Genomic DNA, 26648 nt, shown 5'->3' on the forward strand with positions numbered 1-26648 from the left:
TTTGTATGTGTCAATGTTTTATTTAACTCATTACTGAAGAAACCAGCAGGAAAATAAAAGAGCTAGTTCCATGAACATTTGAGAAATAGAGATGTATATAGTCAATGGGAAAAGAATGCCAAAATAAGATTATCAAGTTAAACATAACAGGAAATAAAACCATATCACCTTTGGGGTTAACTCCTCTACCGGGCTATAAAACAAAACAACTTATTCATTTCTGTAAGTTAGCCTCTAAACTTTAAGAACTTCACAGGGCTATAAACCATTTGCACCTGCATCATTTGTGGATTGTGACTATACTGTGACAGCTATGTTATAGTTTCCAAAGAGGTCAGATAAGGGTCAAGCAGGATTATTAGAAAATACTCCAGCATAGAAAAAAGTAGCCATTCTTTTGCCTTTTCTCAGATTGGGATCCATTTTTCTTTCATATTAGGATCTCCTGTTTTCCATTTGCCCTGGGTTGCAATCTTTGGATGCTTCCTCCAACTGCTCTATAACTTATCCTTGTCTCCAGCCCCCTTTACTATCAGGAGATTCTGTGTAGTCATAGTGAAGGGGTCAGGCAGATGGAAGGAGCAGTAAACCCTTCACAATCTTATGGGGGTGGAGGGCAAGAAGGGGGATCCTATTGTGTGGTGATATGGCAGACTGGAGTGTTTTTTCTGTTTTCACCAGTCCAATTTTCTTCTGACCTCCTTGATATTTCAACTATGTAAGTAGGACTCTAGTTTTCAGTCACGGTATATAATTTCCCCTGTTACATTTTTGTTGTGTTATTTTCAGCAGGAAATTAGTAGAGGGAGAGAGTAAACTGAGTGCATTATTAGAATTACAAAGTTTGTATCTCCTATCTCAGATAACCATGGATTTTCCTCATATTTCCACAGAAATATTAAATGTATGTCCTTTAGAAGCCTAATGTCATCATCATTTTCTTTCTTGGCCATCACAAATTTCAAGAAGACATTGTTATTTTATTTCAAAGCTTTCAACAATTGCATCCTCCTGACTTATTTTTTTATTGGTCAGAATTAAGACCAAATGGCTTTATATCTATGGACACTCGTCAGAAAAATGCACATTTGCATTTATACAGAATGCCTTATATAATTTCAGGGGACTTAGGGATTCTTGAACCCCATCTATAATTCTCAGTTTAAGAATGCTAGTTTTGGAGATAAGAATGTGCCCCTCATAATGACTAAATAACATAATTATATCTATGTGTAAGGAAGCAGAAACAGACTTTACTGTAGTAGTTATTGTATTCTCTCCATTTTGCAGATTGTCCAAATGATTTGCCTTTTGACTCCAAGATTGTATTGATCTGATCCTGAAACATGCTTTGTTCCATGCTTGATCAGGATAATAAACAACTGAGAGTTTTATTTTAAACGTATGAGGCTTAACCTGAAATGTTAACATCATAAATATCTTTTTCAAAGTTTCATCACATAGTTTTTCTACAACAGAGGAAGTGGTGACTCTGAGAGGCCTAACTTTTCAGGGAAGAATGCTTTCATGCAGGTTTCTCCTCACTTCTTTTTGCCTAGTTATATTGGAAGGAAGGAGTAATCTGGGAGCAGCTGCAGAAAATAGGTAAGAGTTAAGTTAAATTGGATGCACCCTCCTGGCCCCCCACCAAAGAAATGCAGGACTGATGATAGTTAATTCAGGAGGCTTCAAGGCAGTGTCTGCTAGGATTTAGCACAAAGGTAGAAGGCAAGCCAGGGAGGGACACTGCCCTGGAGCTGAGGAGGGAGAGGTGACGGCAGTGGCAGGTGCTGCAGTGGCCACCCTCAGTAGAGGTCCTGTGCCTCGCAGCCCAGAACCTCCATCCTCAGGGCAATCTGGTGCACCCAACTCTGGGGGTGAATTCGAAGGTAGCGAGTCAGTAACGGTGGGTCTAGAGAGTTCACCACAGGTGTGAAGGAGTCTTGATTTCCCTGAAAAACCTGAAAGAGGAAAGATAGCATTTATTGGTTGTCTGACAGGACAATGGTCACTGCAAAGCACAGACGCTTTTCTCACTTCTAGTTGTTTCCAGTAGTCCAGGATTAAACCCTGGAAGATGACTAGATGACTCTGTCCTACGCATCTGGGACATCTAGAATTAAGAGCACCCTGCTTTGGAGGCCTTCACTCTAGCTAGGCCTTATATCTACAGTGTTCTCACCCACTTCCCAAACCTCAGTGACATTAAGTGCTTTGTCCTGGGTCACACACAGCATCTGTGTTGGACCATCTGGAGATGAGAGTCAGGCTTTGGCCAGCAGACTCCCTTGTCAATGCATTTGCTGTGGCAAGAGGAGTACATGGCAAGAGCTCAGAAAATGGTAGCTATCGTTATTAGATAAACTGGTTTCGCACATGTTGGTGACAACTTTAGAATGATAACGAATGCAACACAGCAAGGCATGCAATTTAGTGTGGCTGGGCAACCTTGGCAGGAGGGGATGCAGAAGAGAGAAAGAAGTGGGAAGAGTCTAAGACTCAAGGCACCTTGCTACTCCAGGACTTTGGAGCAAAGGTCACCTATAACTGGGTGGATGTTTGGGAAAATGAAGATCTGAATGTTCAAAACGTGTAATTCAAGGCAACTCTGAAACCCTGTGGGTTTTGTGTGGATTCCGAGGTAATCCTACAGTAGAAAGTCCAGCCAAATGGTGAGAATAAGCAAGAGTCTTGGAGAAAAAGGAACAGAATGAAGGCAATGTCCTACCATAATGCATGCTCTTGCAAGGACAGACAGACACCATGATATCTTTAGGATCTCCTGAGGCAGTTTGTGTAAAAGGAGGCAACTTGCCACCAAAATGGGAAAGAAGTGGTTAAACAGCAACAGTAGGGCTCCTGCTTCCTGGAGCTATTGGGTGACATTTTCCTCTAACAATCCTGGCATCTTCAAGTGTGGTGTCAGTTTTACTTCGGATTCCAAATGGGAAGAGACTTTTCCTGGCAAATGCACTGTGAAGTAACACTGTGATCCTACAGAGAGTTTAGCTATCAGAACAAAAGACGTTTGGGCCATCTTCATTCATCTAGCTACATTTTCCCCCTAGGTTCCCAACCCTGGCTGCTTATTGGAATCGCCTTTGGAGCTTTTAAAAAATGATGCATGGGTAAGTTCCCCACCCCCCCACCCCCCCAAGAGATGCCAATTTAATCGGTCTGTTCCCACCTTGGCCCCCTTACTCTGGTCTCCAAGTTCTGCCTAATATAGCCCCTGCCCAAGTCTCTGATCTGTTCTCCCACTGCATTCCTCCTATTTTACCGCATCGCAGATGAGCTGATCTTTCAGTTTCTCAACAATGTCAACTCTTGTTTTATTTAACATGAGAGCCTTTGTATATGTGATTCCCTCTGCTTGGAAGGCTCTTACCCCTTCTGTTTCTTCTTTTATCCATGTTTTTTACCCTTCGGGTCTCAGTTTAAATACCACCTCTTAAACTAAGCATAGTGGCATGCCCCTGGAGTCCCAGCTACTCAGCAGGCTGAGGCAGGAGGATTGCTTGAGCCCAGGAGTTTGAGACAAGCCTAGGCAACATAGCGAAATTCTGCCTCAATTTTTTTTTTTTTTTTTGAGACGGAGTCTCGCTCTGTCGCCCAGGCTGGAGTGCAGTGGCACCATCTCGGCTCACTGCAAGCTCCGCCTCCCGGGTTCACGCCATTCTCCTGCCTCAGCCTCCCAAGTAGCTGGGACTACAGGTGCCCGCCACCATGCCCGGCTCATTTTTTGTATTTTTAGTAGAGATGGGGTTTCACTGTGTTAGCCAGGATGGTCTTGATCTCCTGACCTCGTGATCCACCCGCCTCGGCCTCCCAAAGTGCTGAGCTACCTCTTTAGAAAGGTCTTCCTCATTATTCCTCTTGTAAAATAGGACTCTTTTTTGTTCTAAATCTCAACTTATTTGTTTCCTTTGTAGCATTCAGTATCTTTTCCTTTATCTCTTTACATGCTTATTGACTGTTTCCTCTGTCTCCGCCACCAAATGTCAGTTCCACAAGGGCAAAGACCTTGGTCATTGTTGTATCTTCAGCACATAGAATATATAGCATAATGTATATAGCATGGCAAATATACCATAAACATCTATAGAAATAAAGTTCTGTATTTGGAAAAATTTTTGAGAAACATTAAGGTCCCTGTTCTGAGATTATTTTACAAATGTTTACGCTGTATTTGGAGGCTTTGTACATCTTTTGTTAGACTTAATCCTTACTGCATTAAATCAGGGGGCATGCGATGCCAGATTGTCCCATTATTGATGATGCTAAGTTTGATCACTTGGTTAAGATGTCCACCTAATCTCTATATTTATAAAGGTAACCCTTTCCCTTTCCTAACAATCTGTGGAGTGAGACTTTGAGACCATGCAAATATTCTGTTTCACAACAAGCTTTTATCCAATGGTATTAGCAACCCTTAAAGTTCTTTACAAGTATTCAATAGTAAGTACATTGATGGTTGCAAACTGATTTTCCAGTTATGATCCATTACCCTCATTATTCCTTTTGATGCTCAAATTGTCTCAAATCTGGCCAACAGGAAGCCCTTCAGACCAGTTTCTGTGTTCTTTTCACATGATCCCATTAATCTTCTGGCACATCAAGATCACCAAGATCATCTAAGATTGCCTGGCAGTTTCCTTGATCCAGCCTTGAAAAAGTCATTTCTCTAGGGAGCTCAGATTCTTTTGACTGGAAAATGGTAGTTAGAGACCAAGATTTGGGCATGGGATGGGCTCGTTATTACTGCAGTGTAATTACTTCTAGATTCCCTCAGTGAACAGTGCTAAGAATATGATTTTTTAAATTCCTAAGTTCTCACTGACACTTCTAATTCAACTCTAACATTCTTTTTGTTAGTATTAGATTTCTAGGGCTACTGTAACAAATTCACCACACACTTGGTGCCTTTAAAACAAAAGAAATTTATTCACTTATCGTTCTAGAGGCTTAAAGTCTGGAGCCTGGAGCAGAGGCACAAAAGAGTGTGTCAAACACAAAATCACATTTAAAGCTTCTATTTGGAAGTGGTATATATGTCATGTCCAATCACATTCTATTGATCAAGATGAGCCGTACGGCCATGCCTAAAGTTGATGAGGTTTTCAAGGAAAGAGGGAATAAAAACTCAAGAACATTAATACCATCTGCTTCATATGCTATTTTCTGTTCATTTAGAAATTCCTTACATTTTCTTGTTTCAGCAATAAGAGGTGATTTATGCAGGCAGACATGAGGGCTGGGTGGCTTACTAGGTTTCTTAGCCAGGAGTACCCTCTACTGTTGATAAATGGAAGTGTAATTTATTTAATAGATGTGACCAAAGAGGTTTGTGGGTCTTGTGATTTAGTAATTCACTTTTGTTTTTATAGGACAGTTAATTTCCAACATTTGCTTTCTTCTTTTTTTTTTTTTTTTTTTTTTTGAGACAGGGTTTCTCTCTGGAGCAAGGTTGGCTAGATTTATATATTTATTTTCTACTTGTAAATATAAACTTATAGTACTTTTTGTCTTCTGGTTATTCTATAGATGGGTTATGGGTGGTTTTAGTCATAATTTAAAATTGTGTGTGTATGTGTATGTATGGTTTTTGAAGACTGTGGAGAGATTTAGGCAGCTGCCATTATCTGACAGGAATGTGCAACTCCTGCTTGGAATTTTTAAATGCTATTTAAAACTATTTTTCCAACTGTTTCAGGTATACAGAAATACAATTAATTTTGGTATTTATTTTGTTTTCAGCAAGCTTGAAAAATTTTAAAAATTCTAATAATTTATATATAAATTCCTTTGGATTTTCTATCTATGCCATCATATCTTCCACATACAATGAGTTTGTTTCATCATATTCAATCCTTACATATTTTCCTTCTTTTTCTCATCTTATTGCACTGCTTAGGACAGCCAATATGTATAATCCTTCAGTCTGTCACTGTGATAAATTATATCAGTTTTCTAATGTATAAGCCAAACTTGCATTCCTAGCATAAATCCAATTTGGATCCATATTGCTAATATTTTGTTTGGGATTTATGTTTATGAATAAAACGGGCCTATTATCTTCCTTTCTAATATTGTTCTTGTTCGGTTTGGTTGTCAAGGTTATGCTATTATCATAAGATAATTGAATAACATTCCATCTTTTTCCATTTTCTGAAAGAATTTTTGCAAGGTTAATATTATTTCTCCTTTGAAAAATTGGTAGAATATAGTTAGTGTAGCCATCTGGATCTGGATTTTTTAAATTAATAACCTTTTAACACTAAGTTTGGAAAATTAGGTAAAATGGATTAATCCCTGGTAAATACAACAAGAAAGAACATTTAATATTAATAAGTATCCTCATTTTTTATATTTTTATATTGGCAGAAATTTTTGTGGGATCTTTATTGATGTCCAGTTTTTTAAAGTTTCTGATATTATTTGTGCCTTCTTTTCATCTTGATTGCTCTTGCCAGAAGTTTGTCAATTTTCAAGGAACCAACTTTTGGTTTTCTTTATTCTCTCTATTGTATGTTTCTTTTTTACTTCATTTACTTCATATCTTTATTATTTCCTTGCTTCTACTTCCTTTTGGTTTATTTTGCTGTTTCACTAGCTTCTTGAGACATACCTTAGCTCATTAATTGTCAGGCTTTCTTCTCTTCCAATATATGTTTTTAACGCTATACATTTCTTTCTAAATATTGCTTTAGCTGATTCCCACATTTTAATATGTCATGCCTTGTTATCATTCAGTTTAAAATATTTTCTAATTTATGATTTCTTATTTGACACATGGGTTTAAAAGTATAGTTCTTGATTCTAACATAGGAAGATTTTATAGTTATCTTTCTTATTTATATCAACTTTAATTGTATTGTGACCAGAAAACATGTTTTATATTATCTGAAATTTGAGACTACTTTATTTGTAGCTTATTTGTAGCTTAAAATGGAAAATTCTAACATGTTTCCTTTGTGTGCTTACAAAGAATGTGTAATTTTGCAATTTCTTTTTTTTTATTATACTGTAAGTTCTAGGGTACATGTGCACAACGTGCAGGTTTGTTACATATGTATACATGTGCCATGTTGGTGTGCTGCACCCATTAACTCGTCATTTACATTAGGTATATCTCCTAATGCTATCCCTCCCCTGTCCACCCACCCCATGACAGGCCCCGGTGTGTGATGTTCCCCTACCTGTGTCCAAGTGTTCTTATTGTTCAATTCCCACCTACGAGTGAGAACATGCGGTGTTTGGTTTTTTGTCCTTGTGATAGTTTTTGAGAATGATGGTTTCCAGCTTCATCCATGTCCCTACAAAGGACATGAACAGATCCTTTTTATGGCTGCATAGTATTCCATGGTGTATATGTGCCACATTTTCTTAATCCAGTCTATCATTGATGGACATTTGGGTTGGTTCCAAGTCTTTGCTATTGTGAATAGTGCCGCAATAAACATACGTGTGCATGTGTCTTTATAGCAGCATGATTTATAATCCTTTGGGTACATACCCAGTAATGGGATGGCTGGGTCAAATGGTATTTCTAGTTCTAGATCCTTGAGGAATCGCCACACTGTCTTCCACAATTGTTGAACTAGTTTACAGTCCCACCAACAGTGTAAAAGCGTTCCTATTTCTCCACATCCTCTCCAGCACCTGTTGTTTCCTGACTTTTTAATGATCGCCATTCTAACTGGTGTGAGATGGTATCTCACTGTGGTTTTGATTTGCATTTCTCTGATGGCCAGTGATGATGAGCATTTTTTCATGTATCTGTTGGCTGCATAAATGTCTTCTTTTGAGAAGTGTCTGTTTATATCCTTCACCCACTTTTTGATGGGGTCTTTTTTTCTTGTAAGTTTGTTTGAGTTCTTCGTAGATTCTGGATATTAGCCCTTTGTCAGATGAATAGATTGCAAACATTTTCTCCCAATTTGTAGCTCGCCTGTTCACTGGGATGGTAGTTTCTTTTGCTGTGCGGAAGCTCTTTAGTTTCATTAGATCCCATTTGTCAATTTTGGCTTTTGTTGCCATTGCTTTTGGTGTTTTAGACATGAAGTTCTTGCCCATGCCTATGTCCTGAATGGTATTGCCTAGGTTTTCTTCTAGGGTTTTTATGGTTTTAGGTCTAACATTTAAGTCTTTAATCCATCTTGAATTAATTTTTGTATAAGGTGTAAGGAAGGGATCCAGTTTCAGCTTTCTACATATGGCTAGCCAGTTTTCCCAGCACCATTTATTCAATAGGGAATCCTTTCCCCATTTCTTGTTTTTGTCAGGTTTGTCAAAGATCAGATGGTTGTAGATGTGTGGTATTACTTCTGAGGGCTCTGTTCTGTTCCATTGGTCTATATCTCTGTTTTGGTACCAGTACCATGCTGTTTTGGTTACTGTAGCCGTGTAGTATAGTTTGAAGTCAGGTAGCGTGATGCCTCCAGCTTTGTTCTTTTGGCTTAGGATTGACTTGGCAATGCGGGCTCTTTTTTGGTTCCAAATGAACTTTAAAATAGTTTTTTAGAATTCTGTAAAGAAAGTCATTGGTAGCATGATGGGGATGGCATTGAATCTATAAAATACCTTGGGCAGTATGGCCATTTTCACAATATTGATTCTTCCTACCCATGAGCATGGAATGTTCTTCCATTTGTTTGTATCCCCTTTTATTTCATTGAGCAGTGGTTTGTAGTTCTCCTTGAAGAGGTCCTTCATATCCCTTGTAAGTTGGATTCCTAGGTATTTTATTCTCTTTGAAGCAATTGTGAATGGGAGTTCACTCATGATTTGGCTCTCTGTTTGTCTGTTGTTGGTGTATAAGAATGCTTGTGATTTTTGCACATTGATTTTGTATCCTGAGACTTTGCTGAAGTTGCTTATCAGCATAAGGAGATTTTGGGCTGAGACAATGGTGTTTTCTAGATATACAATCATGTCGTCTGCGAACAGGGACAATTTGACTTCCTCTTTTCCTAATTGAATACCCTTTATTTCTTTCTCCTGCCTGATTGCCCTGGCCAGAACTTCCAACACTATGTTGAATAGGAGTGGTGAGAGAGGGCATCCCTGTCTTGTGCCAGTTTTCAAAGGGAATGCTTCCAGTTTTTGCCCATTCAGTATGATATTGGCTGTGGGTTTGTCATAAATAGCTCTTATTATTTTGAGATACGTCCCATCAATACCTAATTTATTGAGAGTTTTTAGCATGAAGTGTTGTTGAATTTTGTCAAAGGCCTTTTCTGCATCTATTGAGATAATCATGTGGTTTTTGTCTTTGGTTCTGTTTATATGCTGGATTACGTTTATTGATTTTCGTATGTTGAACCAGCCTTGCATCCCAGAGATGAAGCCCACTTGATCATGGTGGATAAGCTTTTTGATGTGCTGCTGGATTTGGTTTGCCAGTATTTTATTGAGGATTTTTGCATCAATGTTCATCAGGGATATTGGTCTAAAATTCTCTTTTTTTGTTGTTTCTCTGCCAGGCTTTGGTATCAGGATGATGCTGGCCTCATAAAATGAGTTAGGGAGGATTCCATCTTTTTCTATTGATTGGAATAGTTTCAGAAGGAATGGTACCAGCTCCTCCTTGTAGTTCTGGTAGAATTTGAGTGTGAATCCGTCTGGTCCTGGACTTTTTTTGGTTGGTAAGCTATTAATTATTGCCTCAATTTCAGAGCCTGTTATTGGTCTATTCAGGGATTCAACTTCTTCCTGGTTTAGTCTTGGGAGGGTGTATGTGTCCAGGAATTTATCCATTTCTTCTAGATTTTCTAGTTTATTTACATAGAGGTGTTTATAGTATTCTCTGATGGTAGTTTGTATTTCTGTGGGATTGGTGGTGATATCCCCTTTATCATTTTTTATTGCGTCTATTTGATTCTTCTCTCTTTTCTTCTTTATTAGTCTTGCTAGTGTTCTATCAATTTTGTTGATCTTTTCAAAAAACCAGTTCCTGGATTCATTGATTTTTTAAAGGGTTTTTTGTGTCTCTATCTCCTTCAGTTCTGCTCTGATCTTAGTTATTTCTTGCCTTCTGCCAGCTTTTGAATGTGTTTGCTCTTGCTTCTCTAGTTCTTTAAATTGTGATGTTAGGGTGTCAATTTTTGATCTTTCCTGCTTTCTCCTGTGGGCACTTAGTGCTATAAATTTTCCTCTACACACTGCTTTAAATGTGTCCCAGAGATTCTGGTATATTGTGTCTTTGTTCTCATTGGTTTCAAAGAACATCTTTATTTCTGCCTTCATTTCGCTATGTACCCAGTAGTCATTCAGGAGCAGGTTGTTCAGTTTCCATGTAGTTGAGCGGTTTTGAATGAGTTTCTTAATCCTGAGTTCTAGTTTGATTGCACTGTGGCCTGAGAGACAGTTTGTTATAATTTCTGTTCTTTTACATTTGCTGAGGAGTGCTTTACTTCCAACTATGTGGTCAGTTTTGGATGTGGTGCTGAGAAGAATGTATATTCTGTTGATTTGGGATGGAGAGTTCTGTAGATGTCTATTAGGTCCGCTTGCTGCAGAGCTGAGTTCAATTCCTGGATATCCTTGTTAACTTTCTGTCTCGTTGAACTGTCTAATGTTGACAGTGGGGTGTTAAAGTCTCCCATTATTATTGTGTGGGAGTCTAAGTCTCTTTGTAGGTCTCTAAGGACTTGCTTTATGAATCTGGGTGCTCCTGTATTGGGTGCATATATATTTTGGATAGTTAGCTCTTCTTGTTGAATTGATCCCTTTACCATTATGTAATGGCCTTGTCTCTTTTGATCTTTGTTGGTTTAAAGTCTGTTTTATCAGAGACTAGGATTGCAACCCCTGCTTTTCTTTTTTTGTTTTCCATTTGCTTGGTAGATCTTCCTCCATCCCTTTATTTCGAGCCTATGTGAGTCTCTGCATGTGAGATGGGTCTCCTGAATACAGCACACTGATGGGTCTTGACTCTTTATCCAATGTGCCAGTCTGTGTCTTTTAATTGGAGCAGTTAGCCCATTTATGTTTAAGGTTAATATTGTTATGTGTGAATTTGATCCTGTCATTATGATGTTAGCTGGTTATTTTGCTCATTAGTTGATGCAGTTTCTTCCTAGCATCGATGGTCTTTACAATTTGGGATGTTTTTGCAGTGGCTGGTACCGGTTGTTCCTTTCTATGTTTAGTGCTTCCTTCAGGAGCTCTTGTAGGGCAAGCCTGGTGGTGACAAAATCTCTCAGCATTTGCTTGTCTGTAAAGGATTTTATTTCTCCTTCACTTATGAAGCTTAGTTTGGCTGGATATGAAATTCTGGGTTGAAAATTCTTTTCTTTAAGAATGTTGAATATTGGCCCCCACTCTCTTCTGGCTTGTAGAGTTTCTGCCAAGAGATCAGCTGTTAGTCTGATGGGCTTCCCTTTGCGGGTAACCCGAACTTTCTGTCTGGCTGCCCTTAACATTTTTTCCTTCATTTCAACTTTGGTGAATCTGACAGTTATGTGTCTTGGAGTTGCTCTTCTCAAGGAGTATCTTTGTGGCGTTCTCTGTATTTCCTGAATTTGAATGTTGGCCTGCCTTGCTAGGTTGGGGAAGTTCTCCTGGATAATATCCTGCAGAGTGTTTTCCAACTTGGTTCCATTCTCCCTGTCACTTTCAGGTACACTAATCAGACATAGATTTGGTCTTTTCACATAGTCCCATATTTCTTGGAGGCTTTGTTCATTTCTTTTTATTCTTTTTTCTCTAAACTTCTCTTCTCGCTTCATTTCATTCATTTGATCTTCAATCACTGATACCCTTTCTTCCAGTTGATCGCATCGGCTACTAAAGCTTATGCATTCGTCACATAGTTCTCGTGCCATGGTTTTCAGCTCCATCAGGTCATTTAAGGACTTCTCTATACTGGTTATTCTAGTTAGCCATTCATCTAACCTTTTTTTTCAAGGTTTTTAGCTTCTTTGTGATGGGTTCGAACTTCCTCCTTTAGCTCAGAGAAGTTTGATCATCTGAAGCCTTCTTCTCTCAACTCGTCAAAGTCATTTTCTGTCCAGCTTTGTTCCGTTGCTGGCGAGGAGCTGCGTTCCTTTGGAGTAGGAGAGGTACTCTGATTTTTAGAATTTTCAGCTTTTCTGCTCTGTTTTTTCCCCATCTTTGTGGTTTTATCTACCTTTGGTCTTTGATGATGGTGATGTACAGATGGGGTTTTGGTGTGGATGTCCTTTCTGTTTGTTAGTTTTCCTTCTAACAGACAGGACCCTCAGCTGCAGGTCTGTTGGAGTTTGCTGGAGGTCCGCTCCAGACCCTGTTTGCCTGGGTATCAGCAGCAGAGGCTGCAGAAGAGCGAATATTGCTGAACAGCAAATGTTGCTGCCTGATCGTTCCTCTGGAAGCTTGGTCTCAGAGGGGTACCCAGCTGTGTGAGGTGTCAGTCTGCCCCTACTGGGGCGTGCCTCCCAGTTAGGCTACTCGGGGGTCAGGGACCCACTTGAGGAGGCAGTCTGTCCGTTCTCAGATCACAAACTCTGTGCTGGGAGAACCACTACTCTCTTCAAAGCTGTCAGACAGGGACATTTAAGTCTGCAGAGGTTACTGCTGTCTTTTTGTTTGTCTTTGCCCTGCCCCCAAAGGTGGAGCGTACAGAGGCAGGCAGGCCTCCTTGAGCTGCGGTGGGCTCCACCAAGTTCGAGCTTCCTGGCCGCTTTGTTTACCTACTCAAGCCTCAGCAATGGCGGGTGCCCCTCTCCCTGCCTTGCAGCCACCTTGCAGTTTGATCTCAGACTGCTGTGCTAGCAATGAGCGAGGCTCCGTGGGTGTGGGACCCTCTGAGCCAGGTGCAGGATATAATCTCCTGGTGTGCCGTTTGCTAAGACCATTGGAAAAGCGCAGTATTAGGATGGGAGTGACCCAATTTTCCAGGTGCCATCTGTCACAGCTTCCCTTGGCTAGGAAAGGGAATTCCCTGACCCCTTGTGCTTCCCGGGTGAGGTGATACCTTACCCTGCTTCGGCTCATGCTCGGTGGGCTGCACCCACTGTCCTGCACCCACTGTCCGACAAGCCACAGTGAGATTAACCTGGTACCTTAGTTGGAAATGCAGAAATCACCTGTCTTCTGTGTCATTCATGCTGGGAGCTGTAGACTGGAGCTGTTCCTATTCGGCCATGTTGGAACCACCCTTGTAATTTTGCAATTTCAAGGTGCTATTTTCTAAATATGTCTATAAGATCAAACTTGTGAATCATGTTAATTGTTCTATTTCTATACATTGTTCCATCAATTGACGAGAGATGTGTTAAAATCTAGCCTCCCGAGTTCACGCCATTCTCCTGCCTCACCCTCCTGAGTAACTGGGACTACAGGTGTCCGCCACCACACCCGGCTAATTTTTGTATTTTTTTTTAGTAGAGACGGGGTTTCACCATGTTAGCCAGGATGGTCTCAATTTCCTGACCTCATGATCCACCTGCCTCGGCCTCCCAAAGTGCTGGGATTACAGGTGTGAGCCACCGCGTCCAGCCATGAAATCACATTCTTAATCTTCAGCAATACTTTCTTGCTTTAAAGTCTATTTTTCTGCTATCAATAGAGCTGTAATCGATATCTTTTAGATATTTGCATAATTTCTTTTCCCATTTTTGTCTTGCTACTTTTCTGTATCTAATGTTTTAGATATGACTCATAAAATGCACACAATTTACTTTTGCTTTTTTTTTTTTTTTTTAAAGAGACAAGTCTCACTATCTTGTCCAGGCTGAACCTCCTGGGCTCAAGTGATCCTCCCACATCAGCATCCTAAGTAGCTGGGACTACAGGTGTGAGCCATCACACCCAGCTACTTTTGCTTTTTTATCAATCTGACAATCTTTGTCTTTTAACTGAAATATTTGGTCCATTCATATTACATATGATTACTGTTATATTTCAATTTAAATATACCATCTTATCTTGCTATTTTTCCTACCTGTTTTATGTTTCTTTATCTCTCTTTGCTTGCTTTCATTTAGGTTTGTTGAGTATATTTTATCCTTTCATATTTTTTCTTCTACCATTTTGGGAGTCTTACATTGTGTGTATTTCTATTACTTACTGGCTATCCTATAAACTACAACATTAATCAAATTATGAAGGTTTAATATTAACATCTTTACCTCCTAGATAATACATGGATTTTAGAATCCTTTATTCTATTTATCCACATGCTGACTTTTTTGCTGTTGTCATATGTTCTAAATTTTCACACGCACACCTGGCTTAAACAATAGAAATTTATTTTCTCACAGTTCTGGAGGCTACAAGTCCAAGATCAAGGGGTAGGCAGGCTTGTTTTGTGTGTGTGTGTGTGTGTGTGTGTGTGTGTGTGTGTATTTTTTTTTTGTCTGTTTGTTTTTTGAGATGGAGTCTCCCTCTGTAGTCCAGGCTGGAATGTGATGGCGCGATCTGGGCTCACTGCAACTTCTGCCTCCTGGGCTCAAGCAATTCTTGTGCCTCAGCCTCCCGAGTAGCTGGGATTACAAGCGCATGCCAGCATGTCCAGCTAATTTTTGTATTTTTAGTAGAGGGGGGTTTCACCATGTTGGGCAGGCTGGTCTTGAACTCCTGACCTCAGATGATCTTCCTGCCTCAGCCTTCCAAAGTGCTGGGATTACAGGCATGAGTTACCACGCCTGGCCAGCAGGCTTGGTTCTTTTTTTTTTTCTTTTCCTTTTCTTCTTCTTCTCCTTCTCTTTATTTTTTTTTTTAGAGGCAGGGTCTTGTTCTGTTTCCCAGGCTGGAGTGCAGTGGCACAACCCTAGCTCACTGCACCCTTGTAACAAGAACTACAAGTGCACACTACCACACCTGGCTAAGGGTTGGTTTCTTGTAAGGCCTCTCTCGTTGGCTTGTAGGTGTCTGTCCTCTTTCTATATCTTCATGTGGTCGTCCCTCTGTGCCTGTCTGTGTCCTAATTTCCTCTTTTGCTTTAACGCATAAAAGATATTTTCATTAGGTTTTCTTTTTGAGAGAGGGGTTCACATTGTTTATTTTAGCATTGTGAAGACATCATTCATTATTTTCTGATATTTGCTATTATTTAGAAATCAGCTGTCAGTTTGTTACTCATTATGGTAATGTACATGTCTTCTGACTTATCTATTGCAAAATTCGCAAACATAAAATTTACCATTTTAACAATTTTAAAGTGTGAAGTTCAGTGCCATTTAGTACATTCACAATGTTATATAGCCATCACCACTATCTAGTTCCAGAACATTTCTATAACCCCAAAAGGAGATTCAATACTTATTAAGAAGCCACTCCACATTCACTCCTTCTGCCAGCTTCTGGCAACCACTAATCTGTTTTCTGTCTCTATGGATTTGCTATTCTGGGTATTTCATATAAGTGGAATGTGGCCTTTTGTGCCTGGCTGCTTTCACTTAGCATAATGCTTTCAAGGAGCATCCATGTTTTAGCATGGATCAGTACTTTGATTTTTTATGAATAAATAATAGTCCATATATGGATAGACCACATTTTGTTTATCTGTTCATCACTTGATGAACATTTGAATTGTTTTCACCTGTTTGCTATTATGAATAGTACTTCTATATGCATTTGTATATTAGTTTTTGTTAGAGTGCCTGCTTTTAATTCTTTTGGGTCCACACCCAGGAGTAGAATTGCTGGGTCTATGTTAATTCTATGTTTTCCTTACTGAGGAACTGCCAAAATATTTTCTACAGTGGCTGCCCTATTTCACATTCTCATCATCAAGGAAGGTTCCAATTTCTTTATATTCTTGCTAACACTTGTTATTTTCCCGCTTGACATTTTGTTTTTGTTTTTTTTTTAATTTAGCCATCCTAGCAGGTTTGAAATGCTATCTCATTGTGGTTTTGATTTGCATTTCCCTAATAACTAATGATGTTGTCTATCTTTTCATGAGTTTGTTGGATCCTTGTATATCTTCTTTGGAGAAGTTCCATTGAAGTCCTTTACCCATTTTAAAATTTGGTTGTCTTTCTGTTGTTGAGTTGTAAGAGTTCTTTTTATATTCTGGGATACTAGGCCCTTTATCAGATATATGATTTGCAATTTTTTTCTCCTATACTGTAGATCATCTTTTTACTTTCTTGATAGTGTTCTTTGATGTACAAAAGCTTTTAACTTTAAAGATGCCTACTATATATATTTTTATAGAGTTGTTGCTTGTGATTGTGGTGTCACATCTAAGAAACCATTGCCAAATCCAGTATCATAACAATTTACCTCTTTGTTTTTTCTTACAGTTTTATGGTTTTAGCTTTTATATTTAGTTTTTTGATACATTTTTAGTTAAATGATTTTTTACAGACAGGGTCTTGCTCTGACACCCAGGCTGGAGTGCAGTGGTGCGATCATGGCTCACTGCAGCCTCCACCTCCTGGGCTCAAGCGATCCTCCTATCCCAGCTTCCCTAGTAGCTGGGACTACAGGTGTGTACCATCATGCCAGCTAATTTTTTTTTCTTGTTTTGTAGATACAGAGTCTCACTGTGTTGCCCAGGCTGGTCTCAAACTCCTGAGCTCAAGTGATCCACCAGCCTTAGCCTCCCAAAGTGCTGGGATTACAGATGTGAGCCACCACATCCAGCCTTGAGTTAAATTTTGTATATGGTAAAGATCCAACTTCATTCTTTTGCATGTGGATATCCAATTGTCCCAGCACCATTTGTTGAAGAGACTATTCTTTTCCCACAAAATGGTCTTGGCACTTTTATTGAAAATCAATTGACCATAGATGTATAGGCTTATTTCTGGACTCTCAATTCTATTCCATTGATCTATGTGTCTATATTTATGTAAGTACTGCCCTGTTTTGATTCTTGTAGCTTTGTAGTAAGTTCTGAAATTGGGAAGTATGACTCCTCCAACGTTGTTCTTTTTCAAGATTGTTTTGGCTATTCAGGGTCCCTTGAAATTCCATCTGAATTTTAGGATAGATTTTTCTATTCCTCAAAAAAAAAAATGTCTTTGGGATTCTGATAGAGAATGCTTTGAGGCCGGAGAATCGCTTGAGCCCAGGAAGCAGAGGTTATGGTGAGTGGAGATTGCACCACCACACTGCAGCCTGAGCGACAGAGTGAGACTCCGTCTCAAATCAAAAAACAAACAAACAAACAAAAAAACCCAGAATGCTTGCTTTGAATCTGCAAATGGTTTGTGGTAATATTCTTATCTTAAGAATATTATGTCTTCAAATCCATAAATCCAGGATGCCTTTTCATTTATTTAGTTATTTAATTTCTCTTTTAATTTTTAATTTTTAATTTTTTTCTAGTTGCTAATTTTCCATATTTGCTGTCTTCAGACCAGACAGTTCTTTAGTTTCTTTCAACTGGGTTTTTTTGTTTTTAGTGGACAAGACTTGCACCTCCTTCGTTAAATTTATTCCTAAATATTGTATTATCTTTGATGCTATTGTAAATAGACTTTTCTGTTTTCCTTTTCATATTTGTAATTGTTAGTATATAAAAATACAATTGATTTTTGCATGTTGACTTTGTAACCTGCAATGGTTTTTTTCAACTGCCTAATAATGTTGGATAATTTGTCTTTTATTTTCATGTTTCCATATGTTATTACTTTAAAGATTTTATACATAATTATTTCATATTATGTATCCGATAATGTCAATATCTGGTGTTCTTCAAGTTTTAAATCTGAATTGATTGTTTCTGTTCACTTGTACTCAAGTTGTCTTGTTGTCTTGCATGTTTGCTGATCTATGTCTGTGATCTTATAATTTTAATATGTAGGAATCCTGGAGGCCTAAACTGGAGGTGCTTTTTTTCTAGAGTAGGTTGAGAATGGTTCTTCCAGGTGCCAGAGGATAATATTTATCTGCAACTTCTCTAGCTTCCTTCTGGGATTCATGACAATGCAGAATTCTCACACTGAGTTCTCCTTGCATTTTGCTCAAGGCTTAGTCTTCCAGTAACAACATTAATATGGGCATTCTGTCTGAGGAAAGGTCTTCCTTTTTATATTTGCTCATTATTCACCTCTCCGCTATGATTTCAGCTCATTATTTTAAAATAGAAGTTTGTGGGGGTTTTTGTTGATGGGGAGGCTGGAGATTCCCCTTTCTTTGCTAAATACAACAATGCATTGTCAGTGATATAGCCTTTTTTATTGTTGTACAATATACATAAAATTTACCATTTTAATCATTTTTAAGTGTACAATTTAGTGGTATTAAGTATACTCACAATATTGTGCACCCATTACCACTATCCATTTCCAGAACTTTTTCATCACCCCAAACAGAAACTCTGTACTCATTAAAAATAACTCTCCATTTCTTCCCCATTCCAAGACCCTGGTAACCTCTTTTCTACTTTCTGTCTTTATGAATTTGCCTGCTCTAGATACCTCATTATGGTGGTTAATTTTATGTGTCAACTTGACTGGGCCATGGGGTGCCCATATATTTGATTAAACTTTATTTTATGTGTGTCTGTGAGAGTGTTTTTTGGTGAGATTAACATTTGAATTGGTAGACTAAGTAAAGCAGATTGTTCTCCCCAGTGTGGGTAGAACTTATCCAATCAGTTGAAGGCCTAAATATAACAAAAAGGCTTACTGTCCTCTTAGTAAGAGACAGTTCCTTCTATTTGACTACCTTTAAACTGGGACTTCAGTTTTTTTCCTGCCTTTGGGCTCGAACTAAAACATTTTAACTCTTTCTGGGTCTGTAGCCTGCTGGTCTTTGAACTGGAACTACGAATCAGCTCTCTGGGGTCTCTAGGCTGCCAACTCACCCTGCAGATCTTGAGACTTGGCAGACTCCATAATCACATGAGCTAATTCCTTGTGTGTGTGTGTGTGTGTGTGTGTGTGTATGTATCTCCTCTTGGTTCTGGTTTTGTTTCTTTGGGAACCATGACTAATACAGATTTTCACACCAAGAGTGATTCTAAAGGAACAGAATTTTAAGGATAAATTTTATAAATTTGTTATTGGATTTCTGGAATTGGTTCTGTAACCTGATGAAATTTAAAGACACTAATGACTATTTTCAGTAGTAAAAATTGTCCATGGCATGATCTGGCAATAGAAATATGTAGGCCAGGCTGGGCGCGGTGGCTCACGCCTGTAATCCCAGCACTTTGGGAGGCCGAGGTGGATGGATCACCTGAGGTCAGGAGTTCGAGACCAGCCTGGCCAACATGATGAAACCCTGTCTCTACTAAAAACACAAAAATTAGGCAGGTGCCTGTAATCCCAACTACTCGGGAGGCTGAGGCATGATAATCGCTTGAACCTGGGAGATGGAGGTTGCAGTGAGCTGAGATCATGCCACTGCACTCCGGCCTGGGTGACAGAGCGAGACTCCATCTCAAAAAATATGTATATGCAAAATATCTCCATTGGATACTCCTAATCAACTACTTTTAAGAAGCAAGGGTCTTGGTGACTATGTATATTGACACTTGTGAACATATTTGTCAAACTAATGAATATGATGGGATTAGTCGGTTGCTCCTAATGTTGCTGGAAAAAGTGATGAAAGAAAAGGAGGAGCTCAGGAATTTGAATTCCCAGCTCAAGAGCTGCATAAATGACTTGACAGATTCTATGTATGCCCTGAAGGAGACCCTTATCTACTGTAGCCACAGAGCTGAGATTGCTGAAAATCAAATGCCAAATCTCATCCTGTGACTAACTGAATTACAAAGCAAGCCAAACTCCCAGCTTTGCAGGGTGTCTACTGTTAAAGCAAGGGCAGTGATTGGGAAAGAATGGGGCACTACAAGTTGGATTAGGTATGTGTGGAAGACCCTGATTAAGCTGGGGACATTGAGCTCCTAAATATTGATGAGTCTTCTTTGTCAGTGAAAGTTTTCTCTCCAGCCCTGTGGTGGCAGTATCTCTACTCCAGTCTAAGTGGATTAACCCTGCACTGCCTGAGGAAACTGTAATGGCTTCCCCTGAGGCAACTGCCATGCAAGATAATGCTGATTCCTTCAGGACCCACCCTACCACCCCTCTTTGTTATTAGATCTATAACTACACTCAAGTCCCAGCAGGCGAGGTGAGGTATGAAGGTGACCCATGACAAGGTGCACTACACTCCAAAATCATGACTTGAGTTTTCTAATTTACACAAGCAGGAATCCAGAGAATATGTATAGGAATGGGTACTAAGGATGTGAGATAACGGTGGAAGGCACGTAAAGTTGGATTAGGCCAAATTTATTGACATGGGCCCACTAAGCAGAGATTCTGGACTTAATGTTGCATCTCAGGGAATTAGGAAGGCCTCTAACAGTTTAATTGGTTGGCTGAAACACAGACCAAAAGATGGCCCACAGTGAGCAAACTAGAAATTTCAGACTTGCCCTGGTTTAATGTAGAAGAAAGGAGATTGAAATGCTAGAGTGAATTTGTCATTTAAGACATACTCACCAACACTGGGAGAGTTCAGAAGACACAGATCTCACTATTACTTTGAGGAATAAATTTGTGAGGGGAACCTCAGCATCCTTGAAGGGCTCTGTGATCACTCTTCTCTGTAGGTGACACCTTACAGCAGGACCTGCAGTCACTGAATTAGAAAACCTAAATACAATGGGAATAATTGGATCCTGGGGTGGAAGGGGCCAATGGGCAGCACTCAACTGCCAAAGGCAAGGTAAGTGTGGTTACCATAAGGGACAGCAGAGTCAAAGCAGCAGTTAGAATAGTATGACTTGCACAGACCTATGGTGTTGGCTAGTAGATTATAGTGTTCCTAGATGTGATATAGATAGAATGCCTACCAAATTCTTGAACTGCATAAGTGGAAAAGTTCTAGGTCAAGTGAACAAAAGTCTAACCTGAATAATAAAAACAGAGTCACGGCCTCTCAATCAATTCCCAGACTTGAGCAGGTTTACAGACCCAGCACTCCTTGAATGAAGGGGAGGCTCAGTCTCCTTGAGGAAGGACTCTGGTACACTGCCAAGAATACTGCCACTCTTTCTCTCAGCCTTCCCCAAAGGGACATATGGCCTTTCTATCAGAATAAATGTGCACTGAAGAAAAATAATTAATCAGACCTTTCAGGGACTACTGGACAATGGCTCTGAACTGGCACTAATTTCAGGAGACCCAAAATGTCACTGTGGTCCACCAGTCAGAGTATGGGCTTATGGAGGGTCAAATGATCAATGGAATTTTAGCTCAAGTCCATCTCAAAGTGGATGCAGAGGATCTGTGAGACTATCTTGTGGTTATTTCCCCAGTCCTGGAATGCGTAATTGGAACAGATATATTGAGCAGCTAGCAGGATCTTCACATTGGTTCCCTGACCTATGGAGCAGGGGCTACTGTAGTGAGAAATCCTCCTGTAATCCTCTGTGAATAACTGTTCTCCTTTTGTGAGATAGCTCTTGGCCTACTACTGGGCCTTAGTAGATACTGAATGCTTAGCCACAGACCACCAAGTTGCCATGTGACCTGAACTGCCCATCATGAACTAGGTGTTATCTGACCCACCAAGCCATAAAGTTGGGTATGAACAATGGCACTCCATCATCAAATGGAAGTGGTATATACATGATCATGTCTGAGCAGGTACTGAAAACACATGTAAATTACATGAAGAAGTAGCCCAAATGTCCATGGTGCCTGTTTCTGCTACCCTGCCTTCTCTCTCCCAGCCTGCACTTATGGCCCCATTGGGAGTTCCCTATGATCAGTTTACAGAGGAAGAGGAGTCTTGGGCCTGGTTTACAGACGGTTCTGCACGATATGCAGGTACTACACAAAAGTGGACAGTCCCGATCTGAGATACCCATGAAGGACAGTGGGCAGAATTTTAGGCAGTGTACCTGGTTGTGGACTTTGCTTAGAAGGAGAAATGGCCAGGTGTGCAATTATATGTCAAGTAATGGGCTGTAGTCAGTGCTTTGTCCAGATAGGGACTTGGAAGGAACATGATTAGAAAACAGGTGACAAAGAAATTTGGGGAAGAGGTATGTGGACAGATCTCTCTGAATGGGCAAAGGATGTGAATATATTTATGTCCCATGTGAGTGCTCAACGAAGGGTGACCTCAGCAGATAAGGATTTCAATAATCAAGTAAATATGATGGGCCGGGTGCAGTGGCTCACGCCTGTAATCCCAGCACTTTGGGAAGCCAAGGCGGGAGGATCACCTGAAGTCAGGAGTTCAAGACCAGCCTGGCCAACATGGTGAAACCCTGTCTCTACTAAAAATACAAAAATTAGCCAGGCATGGTGATGCGTGCCTGTAGTCCCAGCTACTCGGGAGGCTGAGGCACGAGAAATGCTTGAACCTGGGAGGCAGAGGTTGCAGTGAGCTGAGATTGTGCCACTGCACTCCAGCCTGGGCAACAGAGCAAGACTCCATCTCAAAAAAAAAGTAGATATGATGACCTGTTCTGTGGATACCAGTCATCCTTTTTACTCAGCCACCTATGTCACTGCCTGATGGGCTCATGAACAAAGTAGCCATGGTGGCAGGGATAGAGGCTATGCATGGGCTCAGCAACATGGACTTCTATTCAACAAGGCTGACCTGGCTATGGCCACTGCTAAGTGCCCAATCTGCCAGCAGTAGAGACAAACACAGAGTCCTCAGTATGGCAGTATTTCCCAGGATGATCAGCCAGCTATCTGGCAGCAGGTTGATTACATTGGAATATGTTCATCATGGAAGGGGCAGCGTTTTGTCCTTCCTGGAAGGAAACTGAACTACTGCTTCACAATGGAGGTATGGAAGAGTGTGTCTGGAATACAATAGATCCCTTAGAGTGTCTCTTAGTATTACCAGGCCCTATGATTCTGGTCAATGGGAAACTACAGCAACCCAATCCATGCAGGACTACTAGTGGCCCAGGCTCTTCAGGAATAAAGGTTTGGGTCACCTCATCAGGTAAAGAACCACAATCAGCTGAGATGCTTGCTGAAGGCAAAGTCAATACAGAATGGGTAGTAGAAGAAGGTAGTTATCAATACCAGCCAAGTTTTGTTATATCATGTTAGGTGGAATTATGACCTCATTTTTGTCTCTACTTAGAGATAAAGGAGATGTGTATGATGGGTGCTACATTGACAAGGGGTGGACTTGTCATGGTTAATTTTATGTATCTACTTTACTTGGTCATAAGGTGCCCAGATATTTACTCAAACATTATTCTGGTTATTTCTGTGAAGGTGTTTTTGAATGGGATTAACATCGAAGTCAGTAGACTGAGTAAAGCAGATTGCTCTCCCTAATGTGGGAGGCATCATCCAATTAGTTGAAGGCCTGAATAGAACAAAAAGACTGAGTCTTCCCCAAGTAAGAAAGTATTCTTGCTGCCTGTCTGCCTTTGGACTGGAACATCAGCTTTTTCCTGCTTTCAGTCTTGAACTAAAACAGTTTAGCTCATCCAGAGAGACAGAGAGAGAGAGACAGACAGACAGAATCTCCTATTGGTTCTATTTCTTTGGATATCCCTGACTAACACACTCATATAAGTAGAATCATATAATATCTATCCTTTTATGTCTGGCCTATTCACTTAGCGTATTTTCTTTTTTTTTTTTTTTTGAGATGGAGTCTCACTCTGTTGCCCAGGTTGGAATGCAGTGGTGCGATCTCGGCTCACTGCAAGCTCTGCCTCCCGGGTTCATGCCATTCTCCTGTCTCAGCCTCCCGAGTAGCTGGGACTACAGGCACCCGCCACCACGCTTGGCTAATTTTTTGTATTTTTAGTAGAGATGGGGTTTCACTGTGTTAGCCAGGATGGTCTCAATTTACCGACCTCGTGATCTGCCTGCCTCAGCCTCCCAAAGTGCTGGGATTACAGGCATCAGCCACCGCGCCCGGCCTTCACTTAGCATATTTTGAAAGTTCATCATGTTGTGGCACTAATCAGAGATATAACCTTTTTTAAATGGGAATTTTTCTTCTAGAATATCCAATGTCTAGACTTCAGTTCACCAAACTGCCAGTTTGGTGAAGTCTTTCATCCAGCCTTGATGGATAAGGGAATTCTTCTTGGACATGATGTTTACCTGAGACTTAACGAATGAGTCAGGTGAAAGTGGCAGTAGAGGGTAGCTAGAAAAATGTTCCAGGTAGAAGAAATAGTATCTATTTAAAAGCCTGGTATGAGATATAATGGCTGTATTTAGTGACCTGAGAATTTCTTAGTATGGATGGAGCTTAAAGAGCCAAGTGGCAAGAGACTGTATTAGAGAGATTGGTAAGGACCACATCATGGTTAATTCTTGGTGAAAAAAGAATATAAAAAATACCAAAGAGAGGAACTATTCCTTCCCCCATTACTCATGGGGTGATAAGACTTTATGTCATGTCTTTTAATCAGGACAATTTGTTGAATTATCCAGCAAACCCAGATTAAGAATGAAGACTTCCTGGACCACTAAACTTAAAGGTCAAAAAGGCTTGGGAATCAAGGTGCTGATGAGGAGAATTAACTCTTGGATCTACTCTGCCCTTTTCTCAGTATTTTACCTTTTTCTTAAAGTCACTGTGTTCTCTCAGAATGCCTTTTACAATGTCTTGCTACCATAGGTACTTAATAAATTTTGCTCTGAAAATTTGGTCATATATCAACCTTTTTATGTTATGTTAAGCTCTAGGAGAGGTGGTATTTTTTTTCTTTCTTTCTTTCTTTCCAAGGAGACCAGCTTACCTTTACTTTGCCATTCTGAAAAAAGAGAGTCCACTGATGGCCATCTTGACTGCTGGAGATGAGGAACTCCTTCACATACATGCTGGTAAGCAGAGATTTTACTCCCTGAGTAGTTACTCCTGTGACTTTCATTGTCTTCTGGAAGTCCACTTGCAGCCACTCTTTTGGATTATTCACCTGAGGGCAATAGAGTTGGACTAGTAGCCTCTTGGTCACCATTTACTCCCAGAAATTCCCAAATCCCTCTTAACCATACCACAGCACTTCTCACTCTACTTTCTTTTTTGAGACGGAGTCTTGCTCTGTCACCCAGGCTGTAGTGCAATGGCATGATCTCAGCTCACTGAACCTCTGCCTCCCGAGTTCAACCGATTCTCCTGCCTCAGCTTCCCGAGTAGCTGTGGTTACAGGTGCCCACCACCATGTCCAGATAATTTTATATTTTTAGTAGAGATGAGGTTTCACCAGGTTGGCCAGGCTGGTCTTGAACTCCTGACTTCAGGTGATCTGCCACCTAGGCCTCCCAAAGTGCTAGGATTACAGGCGTGAGCCACTCTGCCCGGCCTCCTTCCTTCCTTCCTTTCTTTCTTTTTCTTCCTTCCTTCTTTCCTTTCTTTCTCTCTCTCTCTCTCTCTGCCTCTTTCAGACAGAGTCAGGCACTGTTGCCTGGGCTGGAGTGCAATAGCATGATCTCAGCTCACTGCAACCTCCGCCTCCCAGGTTCATGCGATTATCCTGCCTCAGCAAAAGAGTGATCTAGAACTCCTGACCTTGTGATCGGCCCGCCTCAGCCTCCCAAAGTGCTGGGATTACAGGCATGAGCCACCGCACCCAGCCTCCACTTTCTATTGGCTAGTCAGTCTCTCTTATTCAACTCTAAGCAACTTCAGGGCCAAAATTTTTCACAATTCACCTTTGTATCCCTAGGCTCATCCTAGGGATACTAAGATGTGCAGTAAATGTTTACTTTTCATTGATGTAATGAGAAACCTGGAAAGAAAGCTAATTGTTGATATTTATCTGTAAAATGGACTTTAGCTTCTACAATTCTTTGACAGATATTAGCTCAGTACTAGATATAGAGATTCTTCTTCCAGGAGGTTCAATTAGAGATCATTTCCCCCAAATGCCTGTGTGGTTGTCTGCCCATAACCAAACTTCCTTGACACACTTTTTAGAACTAACAGTTGACAGAAATACCTCAGAAGAAACAGTCAAGGCCTTCCCCGATTTTTTCCCCAACCACTGCTCTGAGTCAGTTAAACAGTAAATCTGTTGCCTCTTACCTGAGGTCTCCAGGCATTACTCCTCCCTTGGAGGTGAAGTCGAGCTTTTGAAGGAGACCAGGTGGCAAACATATTGGTAAAGTAGGATGAAGCAGTAATCTGTGCATCTGATATTGCTTTACTCTCCATTCCCAATGGCATGCTGCAACCTCAAAGAAAAGAAAAAAGAAGGTTATCACAAGGACATGCTTCAGCCTCAGTTATACTGAGCAGCTTCCACTGATATTCTAGGGCTACTGTCATCATAATATCATTTCTCAGGTTTTAACTTTTGCACAGATTCTGTTATTGGTTTTTTGTTTTGTTTTGTTTTGTTTTTGTTTTTTTGAGATGGAGTCTCGCTTTGTCACCCAGGCTGGAGTGTAGTGGCATGATCTCAGCTCACTGCAACCTCTGCCTCCCGAGTTCAAGCGATTCTCTTGCCTCAGCCTCCCGAGTAGCTGGGACTACAGGCGCACACCACCACACCCGGCTAATTTTTTGTATTTTTAGTAGAGTTGGGGTTTCACTATGTTAGCCAGGATGGTCTTGATCTCCTGACCTCGTGATCCACCCGCCTTGGCCTCACAAAGTGCTGGGATTACAGGTGTGAGCCACCACGCCCGGCCAATTCTGTTATTGCTATCTGTTTTCCAGCCAGCTCTTCCCACTTTGTGTGACTCTTTAATTTTCTTTGTTTCTTTTCTTCTTCTACTTTTATTTTAGATTCTAGGGGTACATGG

General features: G+C 40.4%; 1 protein-coding gene across 2 annotated transcripts in view; it reads right to left on the minus strand.

Annotated features, from left to right (window-relative positions):
• The window catches only part of F8 (coagulation factor VIII), a 186932-nt gene continuing 160284 nt past the window's right edge, over positions 1 to 26648 (minus strand). For both annotated transcript variants that reach the window (NM_000132.4, NM_019863.3), the window contains 3 exons: positions 25927 to 26075; positions 24641 to 24817; positions 1 to 1961 (listed from right to left, as the gene is read on the minus strand). In NM_000132.4, coding sequence (NP_000123.1) covers positions 1806 to 1961; positions 24641 to 24817; positions 25927 to 26075 — 482 coding nt within the window. In that variant the 3' untranslated portion in view covers positions 1 to 1805. The remainder of the gene's footprint in view (positions 1962 to 24640; positions 24818 to 25926; positions 26076 to 26648) is intronic.

This window comes from Homo sapiens, chromosome X (genome assembly GCF_000001405.40).
Source record: "Homo sapiens chromosome X, GRCh38.p14 Primary Assembly".
Taxonomy (NCBI): Eukaryota; Metazoa; Chordata; class Mammalia; order Primates; family Hominidae; genus Homo; species Homo sapiens.